Source organism: Homo sapiens, chromosome 9 (assembly GCF_000001405.40).
Source record: "Homo sapiens chromosome 9, GRCh38.p14 Primary Assembly".
Taxonomy (NCBI): domain Eukaryota; kingdom Metazoa; phylum Chordata; class Mammalia; order Primates; family Hominidae; genus Homo; species Homo sapiens.
This window is the reverse complement of record NC_000009.12, coordinates 124,844,082-124,857,882: the sequence shown is the minus strand read 5'-3', so window position 1 is coordinate 124,857,882 and position 13,801 is coordinate 124,844,082. Positions and strand designations below refer to the sequence as shown.

General features: G+C 53.7%; 1 protein-coding gene across 5 annotated transcripts, besides 2 other annotated features; it reads right to left on the bottom strand.

Moving 5' to 3' along the window:
• Positions 1-4: 4 nt before the first annotated feature.
• On the bottom strand, positions 5-4,423 carry WDR38 (WD repeat domain 38). 5 transcript variants are annotated; one of them, NM_001276374.2, is made up of 9 exons: positions 4,283-4,423; positions 3,558-3,678; positions 2,133-2,249; positions 1,925-2,022; positions 1,563-1,643; positions 1,283-1,414; positions 1,002-1,151; positions 472-519; positions 5-384 (listed from the first exon to the last, which is right to left on the bottom strand). In NM_001276374.2, the coding sequence occupies exons 1-9, from the start codon at positions 4,349-4,351 to the stop codon at positions 253-255; spliced, it is 948 nt and encodes a 315-aa protein (NP_001263303.1). In that variant the 5' UTR covers positions 4,352-4,423; the 3' UTR covers positions 5-252. The 5 variants fall into 5 exon arrangements, with proteins under 5 accessions (NP_001263303.1, NP_001038941.1, NP_001263304.1 ...); NM_001045476.3 differs by having other exon boundaries at positions 5-381; NM_001276375.2 differs by having other exon boundaries at positions 3,558-3,645.
• Positions 1,950-2,118: a silencer, noted in NCBI's record as "fragment chr9:127618044-127618212 (GRCh37/hg19 assembly coordinates)". NCBI's record gives its function as "represses an EF-1alpha promoter that drives an FKBP-Casp9 reporter gene in an ReSE screen in phorbol 12-myristate 13-acetate-treated (for megakaryocytic differentiation) K562 erythroleukemia cells {active_cell/tissue: K562(+PMA)}" and the evidence as "EXISTENCE:reporter gene assay evidence [ECO:0000049][PMID:32094911]".
• Positions 4,322-4,371: a silencer, noted in NCBI's record as "silent region_20268". NCBI's record gives its function as "represses an Ori minimal core promoter by ATAC-STARR-seq in GM12878 lymphoblastoid cells {active_cell/tissue: GM12878}" and the evidence as "EXISTENCE:reporter gene assay evidence [ECO:0000049][PMID:35858748]".

Below are 13,801 nucleotides of genomic sequence, written 5' to 3'. Positions count from 1 at the left end.
CTGCTTTGTTTCCTGGCACTTCCACTGATTGGGTGGAGGTGGGTGGGTCTGGTTTTGGGGACCAGGTGTCTGATGGGTTCCAGCAAGCGTCCTGCCCACCACAGTTGTCTGCTCTGGTGGGGCCTGGAGAGTCCTGGCCATGGGGATCTGCTGGATGCCAGCACAGTCACTTTGCGTCTGTGGGGAGAAGCGGCATGCCTGTGCGCCACTGAGGGGAGCGGGTGAGGTCGGCACCATCTAAGGTGGTTGGTGTTAGGTTTGAGGGTCCCTGGGTGATTTGGACGTGCGGGATATTTGACGTCTAGTCTGATCGGCAGCTCCAGACACTAAGATTTTCCCATCTGGGGTGAAGGCACAGGTGTGGGCCACATCCAGGACTCCCTGCTAAGAGTAGAAGGTGGGGCTCGAGGCAAGTCCTGCCTTGGGAGAAGCTGTCCACAGCTTCCTCAGTGCCACAGCGCCGTGCCTTACCTTCAGGGTCTCAAGGCACTTTCCTGTGTTGCAGTCCCAGACTTTGACCTGGAAAAGGAGGGGGGCATGTCAGGAAGCCTCACCAGGCCACTGTGGCATCTGAAGCCACCTCCAGGAAAGTCCCAGACAAAATATGAGATGAGTCTTCGCCTGAACTCCTGACCTCAGGTGATTCACCTACCTCCACCTCCCAAAGTGCTGGGATTACAGGTGTGAGCCACCGCCCCCGGCCCAAAAAACATCTGAACCTCTTGGTGTAGGTTTTGTTTGGAGGCTGTATTTGAAATTTCAGAGCAGGAGTTCCCTTTTGCCTGATGCCATTTGGGTCATGGAAATGTCAATGCAACTACCAATGGGCCAGCCCTAACCTTGGTGCTGGCCATTAGGAAGAGAGGCTGGCACCCAGGTCCTGCCCTTGCCCCCTCCTAGCTAGGGCAAGTGGGGATGTGGGCATTTCTGGAGTGAGTGCTGAGGGCTCCTGGTGGGGTGAGGATGGGTAGGTAGGAGCAGGATGGGCCCGGGGTGGTTACCATGCGGGAATAGCCGGCGCTGGCCAGCCACAGCTCGTCGGGAGAGAAGGCTATGCTCTTCACCCAGGTGACATGGCCCTTCAGTTGGATAAGCAGGCTGCTGGTTGTGGGCTTCCAGATGTGGATGGTCTTGTCCCAGGAGCCGGATGCCTGGACAGCAGACAGCTCTGATCCCCAGGGTTTGGGGCCTGTGAGCTCACTGGGCCCCTAAGTGGCCTGGGACCCTTAAGGGCCTGGCTGCCAGCAAGGGACCAGCCTGGAACCCAGGACACCCCACTTACCAGGAGGCCGGATGCTGAATAGCACAGGCAGCTGATGTTGGCACTGTGTCCCTCTAGCGCCTGGTGGGAGACTGCTGGGGTCACCATCCGCAGGTCCCAGATGTGTACGGTGGAGTCCCAGGAGCCGGTGGCCTGCAGGCAGCTTCTGTGAGTCTGGCCCAGCCAGCTCTCCACCCACTCTGCATCTAGGCGGGACCCAGAGTCCATCCCCTTCCCACCACTCAGCTCCAAGTGGGTATGGGGCCACTGAGGTGGGGCCCAGGGCAGAGGGTAGGCTCACCAGGCAGTTCACCGTGGGTGAGAAGTCGCTGCTCTGGATGGAGTCACGGTGCCCAACTAAGAGGCGCAGCATCTGGCCGGACTAGAGAGAGCCCTGAGCTGCAGAAGGCAGCAGAGGGCAGCCGGCTACCTGGCCTTGACAGTCCAGGAAAGGGGGACCTCGTGCAAAAAGCCTGAGGGCTGCTGTGTGCAAGGAAGCCTGGAGAGGCGGCTGTGGCCAGGTGGGGGCAGCCTTGGTTGCCTGCTGTGGGCATGGGCCATGGGAACCAGTGGAGGGTTTGAGCTGGGAGGGCAAGACTGGTGACATCCTCTCTGGAACTGGTCCTTGAATCCCAGACTGGTGGCCCCAGCCCCTCAACGTACCTGCACATCCCAGAGCATCACCCGCTTGTCCCAGCCACCTGATGCCAGCTGTCTCGAGTCAGGGCTGAAGCTGACCGTCTCCACACTCCGTTGGTGACCTGCAGGCACCAGCCCGGGGTCGGGGAAGGTGGAAAGGTGACGTGACACAGGACACAGCACCATCTGAAAGGGAACGCTGGCCTGGCTGCTTGGCTCCCAGCTCACTCACCCTTCAGGACCCGCAGACACTTCGCTCTTGCCACATCCCACAGGCGGACAGTGCAGTCACAGGAGGCGCTGGCGAAGAGGTGGCCATCAGGGGAGAAGCGGCAGAACTTCACGGGGCCTGGGCGGGTGGCCACAGTCAGGGGACAGAGCACTGCCCGCCACTTCTGCCCACGCAGTCCAATCCTTGCTAATTTCTCCAGCCTCGTCGCCAGCCTCCCCTCACCCAAACTCCAGCTTCCCAGAAATGCCTGGATTTCCATGCCTTGGCCTGGGCTGGGCTGTCAGCCTTGGAGCACCCAACCTCAGTGCTCATCTGAAAAATCAATCCCCAAGTCAAAGTAGGGACCTCCCAGAAACTTGCCCTAACAACCGCTGCCTAGGTTCACTGCCTCCTTTGAGCTCCAGCCCCTGATTTTCCCTCCTTGCAGCATTAACCAGACTGCCTGTAATTGCCTGATATTTTTTCTTGTCTCCTGAATAATAATTACAATAGTTATATCTATTGAGTCCTTACTGTGTGCTAGGTACTTTGCTTGCATCGTGCCAGTGGAAATGGCTCAGCGAGGTGACAGGACTTGACCAAGATCACAGTCAAAACAGTGGTAAGCACGACATGGCTGAACCTTAAGTACATCATGCTAAGTGAAATAAGCCAGTCACAAAAAGACAAATACTGTGTGACTCCACTTAGAGGCACCCAGAGAGGTCAGATTCATCGAGACAAAAAGAAAAACAGTGGTTGTCAGGGGCTGGGAGGAGGGAGATTGGGGACTTGTTTAGTGGGGACAGAGGTTCAGTTCTGCAAGAGGAAGAGCTCTGGAGATTGGTGTCACGACAATGTGAAGGTACTGGATTCTCTGAACTGTACACTTAAAAATGGACACAACAAAGCCGGTGCAGTGGCTCACGCCTTTAATCCCAGCACTTTGGGAGGCCGAGGTGGGTGGATCACGAGGTCAGGAGTTCAAGACCAGCCTGGCCAAGATGGTGAAACCCCGTCTCTACTAAAGATACAAAAAAATTAGCTGGGTGTGGTAGCAGGTGTCTATAATTCCAGCTACTCGAGAGGCTGAGGCAGAGAATTGCTTGAACCCAGGAGGCGGGGGTTGCAGTGAGCCGAGGTTGTCCAGCCTGGGTGACAGAGAGCGACTCTGTCACACACAAAAAAGGATGCAACAGTAAGTATTACTGTGTTACATTACAGTTGTTTTTGTATGTATGTGTGTGTGTGTGTGTGTTTTTAAAGAAGGCTGAGTCCAGGCCTGTTAGAGTCTAAGCCCCAGCACCCAGATATCTCGTCCCATCTCCCAACCTGCCCAGCCCTGCCTTGCACCCGTGCCCAGCTCATCGGAGGTCACTGCAGTCAGCTCTGCAGCATGCCAGACCCTTGTGCCTCGGTCTTCCCGGCCAGGTGTGGGAGCCCCACCTGTGTGGCCACCCAGCCTCCACAGCAGCTGCCCACTCCGGGTCTCCCAGCCATACACGCAGCCATCTTCTGAGCCTGTGAGCAGCATCTGGCCATCAGGGGAGAAGGCAGAAGAGTTGACCTAGAAACAGCACAAAAGCGGTCCCATTCTGGGGAAGAAACCCCTGTCCGCTCATCTCTGACCCCTAAACACTGCCCCCCAAGAGCCTGGGGTTGGAGCTTGACTTCAAGCCTCACTCCACCACCAGAGCCCAGAACCCGGGACCCACTGGGCCCTCTCTCGAGTCCCGTAAAGCCAGAGCCTGCAGTTGGAGGCAAGAGCCTTCTCTGGAACCAGAGCCTGGAACCCCAGAGCTAAGAGCCCATTCCAGAGCCGCAGCTGACAACGGAGAGTCCAGAATCTACTCTAAGTTCTGAGTTCACTTTAGAGCCAGGGCCCCAGAAAACACCAGAGTCAGCAGGGAGCTTTGTGCCCCTCTCGAGGCAGAGCCCAGAGCCCGGGGCTCTTTTTACAGGCAGAGCTTAGAACCTAGAGCTGCTCTGGAGCTGGGGCCCGGCACTGGAGCTGAGAACCTACTTCGATCCTTCTTGGGTTAGCAAAGTCTACTCTGGACTCAATGTCCTGAGCCACTGCCCAGAGAACATTCTGGAACCCCCACTACACAGAACCAGGAACCACTCTGCATCCAAAGCCGGGAGTCTGGGCAGAGCCCGCTGGACCTCACCTCCCCGCCGTGCTGGCCGAAGAATTTCACTCTCCGCACGGCCAGCGTGGCCGGGACCCCGCTGTTCATGGGCACCCGGCCCCGCCCCGCCCCGGCGGGCTCCCTCCTAGGCGGCCGCGGGACCCCAGGACTGGGCAGAGGAAAGAGGAAACTGTGTACAGGCGGTCTCCATGGTAATCGGGGCGGGGCGTGCGGCCATGGTGGGGTCCCTGCGAAGCCACGAGGACTGACAGGCAGGCCAGACCGCTTGCAGTTCGGCGGAGGTGGAGCCGCAGCAGGCGGGACCGCGGCGGGCTGGGAGAAGGGACTTCCCGCGCCAGCGGCTGCGCGTCCACTCTAGGGCAGCTCTCGCGCGGGGCAACACGGCAGGCAGAGCGGCCACTAGAGGGCGCGCCAGCCACACGCACCGCGCGGCCCAGAGCCCGGCCCCGCGCCCTGCGGACTGCGAACTGCAAGGGGTCCCTGCACCTCTTTGATACAGGGGAGCAACGAGCCTGTCTCCCCATCTGCACAACCGGGAGCATCAGCCCTGCCCCACAGGACTCCAGGGGTGAGCCAAGCACAGGGCCTGGCACACGGTAGATGCCCAAGAGGGCCCCCTCAGGAGCCAATACCCCTTCCGTCCAGGAGTGGCCAGTACTGAGGTTAAGGATGTCCCAGGAGAGCGCTGGGGACAGTAGCCAGCTCTGTCCTCCAGGGCGTGGAAGCCAGAGGTAGTGTGTGTAAAGTACATGGCATTAAAAGTGGGGTCACGTTGCTGTTAACATTCCTGGCAGCACAAAATGTGCCATCTGAGGATGGGGTGGAGGCTGGGGCTGGGGGGCAGTTGCCCAGGAGCTGCCAGGATCCTTACCGGATAGCGCAATCTGAAGCTTGGAACGAGCAGGACTTGGTTTCATTGTTAATTTACAGGTGAAGAAACTCACCCGGAGAGCTGGGAGGACTTGCTCAGAGCCACTCAGCCAGTAGGAGTGGAACTGGGATTTCAGCCCATGGCTGTCTGACTCTGGGTGTCTGTACTGGGACCACCTGCCATGAACTCCAGGGACCTCTCAGCAGATGTTGAGGTCCGCAACTCCTGGTACATCTGGGAAACTGAGGTCCGAAGGGGGCAGGACTTGGCCCAGCCATCTAGCCGGTGCTTCCATGGCAGAGCTGGGGCAGGACCCAGTCTCCCCACTCCCACAGCAGGACAGGGAGGGAACAGAGGACCCCCCACCTGCCCCGCCCATGGATTCTAGGCTCCCTGGGGGCAGGGGTGGAGCAGCTGGGCTTTGGGAGCTTCAAACTCAAGAGTTCCCAGCGGCGACTCACACCCTCCCCCCCTAAACCTCTTTGCCAGAAACTTCTCAGGAGATCCGCTGTGCTCCTGCTATTTTAAGTCCCAGACAGTCAGGCGGGTGAGGGAGCGACAATGACAGCTTTGAGGCAGTCCCACTCCATCCCAGATCCCAGAGGGCCTAGGTCACTGTGGGACCCTTCTGAGCTGGGCCTATAAAGCTGTCCCCCCACACCCAGATGTGGCTCCCAGACACAGCTCCCCAGAGCTACTATTCCCTGGCCCTCTGGCTCTCCTGCTCAGGCACCCCCCCAACCCATGCCCCGGCCCTGGGCACATTGTCTAGCCACTTGGTTGCTCCTGCTCTATCCAGAGGGCCCAGAGCCACCTTCCCCAGCCCAGCCCTTCACTCCCAGAACCCTCAGGGTAGACCTTGTCCACCAGGCCCAGTGACTGCTTGGCCGAAGGGGTGGAGCTGGGGTCGAAACCCGTGGGCTTGGCTCAGGCATCTGTAGGTGGAACCACCAACGTGAATGCCAGGGTCCGGAGGATCATCTCCGCGGATGAAGTGGTGGAGAAGTTTCTGCCAGTTTTCCACCACTGACTATCTCTTCCTTCTCCTCAGGGAGCCTGCCGCCTTCTCTCCTGTATTTGGCCAGGCTGTCCAGGGAGAGGGCTCTACCAAGATGTCCAGGATGGATGCCGCGCTGGCTTTTCTCACTGTCACTCCATTCCCTGAAGGGGACTGGAGGTCCTGGACCAGCCTTGCCTCTCCTCAGCTACGCATGTCAACCTTAAAACACCCCACAGGGCCAGGCATGGTGTTTCATGCCAGCAATCCTAGCTCTTTGGGAGACCAAAGCAGGCAGATCATTTGAGGCCAGGAGTTCAAGACCAGCTTGGGCAAGATGGTGAAACCCCATCTCTACTAAAAACAAAACAACAACGACAACAAACCTCACAAACATCTGTTCAGCAAAAAAAAAGAAAGAAAGAAAGAAAACAATCAAGGCAGGCAAAAAAGAACCCTCTATTTATTTGGATAAGAAAAGCAAGCAAAACCCCCAAATCTCCAGAGTGGTCAACTCTCAGGAGAGGAAGGGAGGGACTAGAAAAGGCAGGACCCTTGGGGTTTTGAGGAGCCACATTCCAGCTCTAAGCTGGGCAGGGGCCCCAGGTATCTGTTGAATTGTTCTTAAAGAATCGGCCCCGCCTGTCTGGCCCCTGCCTGCCTGTCCTTACTCTTCCTGGCTTCCTTGCCCTGCCCCATTTCTTATACCCTACCTGCAGTCCTACCCCAAGTCTGGAACAGTTTAGTGGGGAGCCAGCATTTCCTGACCGGTGCCCCAAGAAGCAGAGAATGTTGTTTTGTGGCAAGAGAGGAAGTAGGAGAGGGAGTTGGAGAGCCTAATTGCCCTGGTTTCTTCGAGGTTCCAGCTCCCAGCTCCAATACCTGAGCTGCTCCTCCTGCCCTCTAGGTTTTTTTTTTTTCTAAGATGGAGTCTCTGTCTCCCGGGCTGGCTGGAGTGCAGTGGCGCGATCTGGGCTCACTGCAACCTCTGCTTCCTGGGTTTAGGCAATTCTCCTGCCTCAGCCTCCCGAGTAGCTGGGATTACAGGCACCTGCCACCATGCCCAGCTAATTTTTGTATTTTTAGTAGAGATGGGGTTTCACCATGTTGGCCAGGCTGGTCTCAAACTCCTGACCTCGTGATCCACCCACCTCGGCCTCCCAAAGTGCTGGGATTATAGGCATGAGCCACCGCGCCGTGCCTGCCCTCCAGGTTTTAAAACATACCTGTTCCCAGCCAGATGCAGTGGCTCACCCCTGTAATCCCAGCACTTTGGGAGGCCGAGGCAGGCAGATCACGAGGTCAGGAGTTCGAGACCAGCCTGGCCAACATGGTGAAACCCTGTCTACTAAAAATACAAAATTTAGCCGGACACGTGATCCGCCTGCCTTGGCCTCCCAAAGTGCTGGGATTACAGGCGTGAGCCACCGCACCTGGCCTGTCATTATCCCTCTTAAAAAGTGTGTGGACCAGAACTAGAACCATGCTCACTGTTTGGACTGACAACCACCAAGCTGAAAGGTACTGTCATCTCCAGTTTCCTAGACACTCCATCTCTAGTAATGCAGTCTGCATTACTAGAGGCATTTATGTTTCCAAGAGCTATGTTATTCACTGCAAATGCACGAGAGCTTTTTCCCATGAACTGCTGTCCAGCCAGCCCTCCCTCCCCTGTCTGGTACTCACACAATGAGTTCTTCGGAAACGCACGCAAGACCTTACATTATGCTGGTTAAAGGTCATCTTCTTGGCCCCCATCCAGCCGTCTAGTCTTGAAAGCATTTTAAAAGTCCCACTTCTATTGCACAAAGCATTAATTCTGCTGCTGTGGCAGCTGCAAATTTTATGAGCGGGCCTGTGTTCTGGTCCAGATTGGGGAAATGATCAACATGACAGGGGTAAGAACAGAGCCACGGCCGAGCGTGGTGGCTCACGCCTGTAATCCCAGAACTTTGGGAGGCCGAGGCGGGTACATCACCTGAGGTCAGGAGTTCGAGACCAGCCTGGCCAACATGGTGAAACCCTGTCTGTACTAAAAATACAAAACTTAGCCGGGCATGGTGGCATGTGCCTGTCATCCCAGCTACTCGGGAGGCTGAGGCAGGAGAATTGCTTGAACCTGGGAGGCAGAGGTTGCAGTGAGCTGAGATGGCGCCACTGCACTCCAGCCTGGATGATGAGAGCGAAATTCCATCTCAAAAGCAAACAAACAAACAAAAAACAGAGCCCTTTGGTCTATCACTAGAGACCTCCAGTGATTATCTTTTTTGCCTCCATCCATCAGAGTCATGGGCTAACCATGGGGTCAGGGAGGGTACAGTCCCTTAGGAAAGGTCCGGGTGGGGAGGAAAGTAATTTAGATTCTTTTTTTTTTTTTTTTTTGAGACAGAGTTTTGCTCTTGTTGCCCAAGTTGGAGTGCAATGGTGCAATCTCGGCTCACTGCAACCTCCGCCCCCTGGGTTCAAGAGATTCTCCTGCCTCAGCCTCCCAAGTAGCTGGGATTACAGGCACCCACCACCACACCTGGCTAATTTTTGTACTTTTAGTAGAGATGGGGTTTCACCATGTTGGCCAGGCTGGTCTCAAACTCCAGACATCAGGTGATCCACCCACCTCAGCCTCCCAAAGTGCTGGGATTACAGGCGTGAGCCACCGCACCCTGGTGGTAATGTAGATTCTACCTCAAGCAGGGTTCTCTGGTTGCAAACAACAGAAACCATGGATGGCCAAAAGGGACCAAGAAGCTCTGGGATGACGGATTGGAAAGACAGCAACACTGTCACACCAGGGAAGGGCAGGAAGCAGTGCTACTCACTCATCCCGGGAGCAGCCCAGCAAATCAGGATCCTCAGAGAGCTCGTGATTGACCCAGCTGGGGTCAGGTACCCACTTCTCGGTGAGGGGAGGGCTGTCCAGATTAAGACCTGGGATTCTTCCCCCACCTCCACCCTGGTCTGTGAATCAATCAGGAAGCTCTAGTTCAGCTTAAAACCAGCTGTCACCTGTGTAGCCTCAGAAGCCAGGCAGCTGCACCCTGATCTGACTCCGTCACCTACCACCTGTGACCTCGGGCCAGTTACTTAATGCTTCCGTGCCTCCTTTTCCTCACCTCTAAAATCAGGATAATAATTAGTACCTGCTGCATGAGGTTGGCTTTGAGGATTAATGTATGTAAAGTGCTTGGAACGGCACCTGTGCATGGTTAGCTGGGCTATCATGAAAGCGTTATCATCTCATGAGTCCACCATTTTTTACTGTAGCCCCAAAGATACCAAGAAAGGCTCCCTGGCCAGGCACGGTGGCTCACAGCTGTAATCCCAGCACTTTGGGAGGCTGAGGCAGGCAGATCACTTGAGGTCAGGAGTTCGAGACCAGCCTGGCCAACATGGTGAAACTCCATTTCTACTAAAACTGCAAAAATTTATACTAAAAAATGCAAAAAAATATATAGCCAGGCATAGTGGCATGCATCTATAGTCCCAGCTACTTGGGAAGCTGAGGCAGGAGAATCGCTTGAACCCAGAAGTCAGAGGTTGCAGTGAGCTGAGATCACACCACTGCACTCCAGCCTGGCGAGAAAGCGAGACTCCGTCTCAGAAAAAAAAAAAAACCCAAAAACGAAAAACAAACAAAAAAAACGCTTAATGTCACTAATCACTGGGAAAATGCAAATCAAAACCACAATGAGATATCATCTCACCCCAGTTAAAATGGTTTTTATCAAAAAGACAGAAAATAGGGCCAGGCAAGGTGGCTCACCCCTGCTATCCCAGCACTTTAGGAGGCTGAGGCAGGTGGATTGCTTGAGCCCAAGAGTTCAAGACCAGCCTGGGCAGCATGGTGAAAACCAGTCTCTACTAAAAATACAAAAAATTGGCCGGATGTGATGGTGTGCACATGTGATCCCAGCTACTCGGGAGCCTGAGTGCGAGGATCACCTGAGCCCAGGAGGGCCAGGCTGCAGTGAGCTGTGATCATGCCACTGCACTCCAGCTTGGGTGACCAGAGTGAGACCCGGTCTCAAACAAACAAACAAACAAAAAACAAACAAAAAACCCCACAAAAGAAAATAAAAGATGCTGGTGAGGATGTGGGGAAGTAGGGGAGAGGGGAGGATGAAGAGAGGTTGGATAATGGGTACAAAAATACACTTAGATAGGCCGGGTGTGGTGGCTCACACCTGTAATCCCAGCACTTTGGGAGGCCAAAGTGGATGGATCACCTGAGGTCAGGAGTTTGAGACCAGCCTGGCCAACATGCTGAAACCCCATCTCTACTAAAACTACAAAAATTAGCCAGGCGTGGTGGCAGGCACCTGTAATCCCAGCTAGCAGGGAGGCTCAGGCACGAGAATCACTTGAACCCAGGAGGTGGAGGTTGCAGTGAGCCAAGATCATGCTACTGCACCCCAGCCTGGGTGACAGAGTGAGACCCGGTCTCAAAAAAAAAAAAAAATAGATAGAAGGAGTAAGTTCTAGTGTCAGATAGCACAGTAAGGTAACTATGCTTTTTTGTTTTGTTTTGTGACAGGATCTCGCTTTGTTGCCCAGGCTGGAGTGAAGTGGCGCAATCACTGCTCACTAAAGCCTTGACCTCCCGGGTTCAAGTGATCCTCCCGCCCAGACTTCTTGAGTAGCTGGGGCTACAGACACATGCCACCACACCCAGCTAATTAAAAAAAAAAATTAGCTGTAGAGCTGTAGAGCTTAAAGTTGTAGAGCTGGAGTCTCACGATGTTGCCAGAAATCCTCCCATCTCAGCCTCCCAAATTGCTGAGATTACAGGCATGAGCCACCACACCTGGCCAAGGGCAACTATAGTTAACAAGTTATTGTACGTTACAAAATAGCTAGAAGAGAAGATCTGGAATGTTCCCAACACAAATAACTGATCAATGTTTGAGGTGATGAATTTCCTAATTATCGTAATCTGATCATTACTCATTGTATATATGTCTCAAAATATCACATGTACTTCATAAATATGAACAACTTATGTATCAAAAAAACTGTCTCATTCTCTTCTCTTGTCTGCCGCCATGTGAGACATGTCTTTTGCCCTCTGTCATGATTGTGAGGCCTCCCCAGTCACGTGGAACTCTAAAGAAAACAGGAGGGCTGGGCGCGGTGGCTCATGCCTGTAATCCCGGCACTTCGGGAGGCCTAGGTGGGTGGATCATGAGGTCAGGAGACCGAGACCATCCTGGCCAACATGGTGAAACCCCATCTCTATTAAAAATACAAAAATTGGCCAGGCATGGTGGCTCACGCCTGTAATCCCAGCACTTTGGGAGGCCGAGGCAGGTGGATCATGAGGTCAGGAGTTCAAGACCAGCCTGGCCAAGATGGTGAAACTCCATCTCTACTAAAAATACAAAAAATGAGCTGGGTGTGGTGGCATACGCCTGTAATTCCAGCTACTCAGGAGGCTGAGGCAGAGAATTGCTTAAACCCGGGGGGCAGAGGTTGCAGTGAGCTGAGATCGCGCCACTGCACTCTAGTCTGGGCGACAGAGAGAGACTCTGTCTCAAAAAAAAAAAAAATTAGCCAGGCGTGGTGGCATGTGCCTGCATCCCCAGCTACTCAAGAGGCTGAGGCAAGAGAATCGCTTGAACCTGGGAAGCAGAGGTTGCAGTGAGCCGAGATCGTGCTATTTGCACTCCAGCCTGGGCCACAGAGCAAGACTCTATCTCAAAAAAAAAAAAAAAAAAGAGAAAAGAAAACAGGAGACTGTGACTAAATGAGAATCACAAAGCTAGTTGATCAGTGTGGAAGCTGCATCTGAAATCAGGGACTTCTAGATCCTGATTCAACTGATGTAGACATTTTGTCATCTAAAGAGCAAATGAACGTGGAAAATGAACCTGAGACAAAATAGAGCACGCTACTAAGGTGCGTGAAAAGTGACCAACCACAGCCCTGGAAGAGCTAATCCCTAATGGAGCACACTGATTATGTGAAACGAAGGACTGAAGCGAGGCAAGGCGGGTGCAGTGACTCCTGTGCTGCTCCGTGGCCTCTTCAGGGATTAAACTTTCATGCTCCAGCAACCGGAAGTGTCTCCGCTGATGGTTCACAGCCGAGGCCTTTCTCAGGTGTTGCCCTAAACTAGCAGAAACCGCTTCACTCAAATCTACCTCTTCCCAGGGGGCAGTTTAATTCAATAACTGATCCATGCAGGTGTAGAAAGACAAGCTACGTGGCTGCCAAACAAGCAAACAAACAGCAAGATAAAAACAAAAACAAAAAACTCACCCTTGGGTTCACGGCCGGGCGCGGTGGCTCACGCCTGTAATCCCGGAACTCTGGGAGGCCGAGGCAGTTGGATCATCTGAGGTAAGGAGTTCGAGACCAGCCTGGCCAACATGGTGAAACCCCGCCTCTACTAAAAATACAAAAATTAGCCAGGCGTGGTGGTGCACGCCTGTAGTCCCAGCTACTCAGGAGGCTGAGGCAGGAGAATCCCTTAACCTGGGAGGCGGAGGTCATGGTGAGCCAAGATCGGGCCACTGCACTTAAGCCTGGGCGACAGAGTGAGACTCCATCTCAGAAAAAAAAAAAAAAAACCTCACACTTAGGTTCAGTATTGAAGGATGTTATCTATAACGGCCACTATTCTTTTAATGGGTTACGTCATACTATTCTGTTCTGTTTTGGATGCCAAAATTAAATAAAGGCATAAACAAAAAACCAAAAAAGCCATTCAGCAGAACATTGACTCAAAAAAAAAAAAAGGAAACAAAAGATTTTATTTTATGTATGTATTTTTTATTTATTTTAGACAGAGTCTTGTTCTGTTGCCCAGGCTGAAGTGCAATGGCAAGATCTCGGCTCACTGCAACCTCCACCTCCCAGGTTCAAGCGATTCTCCTGCCTCAGCCTTCCGAGTAGCTGGGATTACAGGCATGCGCCACCACGCCCGGCTAATTTTTGTATTTTTAGTAGAGACGGGGTTTCACCATATTAGCCAGGCGGTTTCGAACTCCTGGCCTCAAGTGATCCACCCACCTACACCTCTCAAAGTGCTGGGATTACAGGCGTGAGCCACTATGCCCAGCCCTGAAACAAAACAATTTAAAAAGAAATAAAAAAGGAAAACCTCCTGTGTTTTGCAGAAATCCAGGCAGCCTGTGTGTGGGTTGGGCCCGGTCACCTGTTATGGAGAGGGACAACAGCAGCTTGGTTCACTTTCCAGTGACCTTCGTCTGCATTGCCAGTCACACTCCATCTTCTGAGGACTCTGAAATCACTTCCTGAACAATCTGCCCCCGACTTTGCTTGGCGAGTCTGGGCTCATGAGTCCATGACTCCTGGGCTCACCCTTCTAGAAGGGTGGGGTGATGGTGCTCTCTTCTCTACTGGCTTCTGGCCTCAGGCCTGTTTTTTTTTTTGTTGTTGTTGTTTTTTGTTGTTGTTTTTTTTTTTGAGATGGGTTTTGCTCTTGTCACCCAGGTTGGAGTGTAATGGCACGATCTCAGCTCATTGCAACCTCCACCTCCCAGGTTGAAGCGATTCTCCTGCCTCAGCCTCCTGAGTAGCTGGGATTACAGGCACACACCACCACGCCTGGCTAATTTTCATATTTTTAGTAGAGACGGGGTTTCACCATGTTGGCCAGGCTGGTCTCGAACTCCTGACCTCAGGTGATCTGCCCGACCTTGGCATCCCG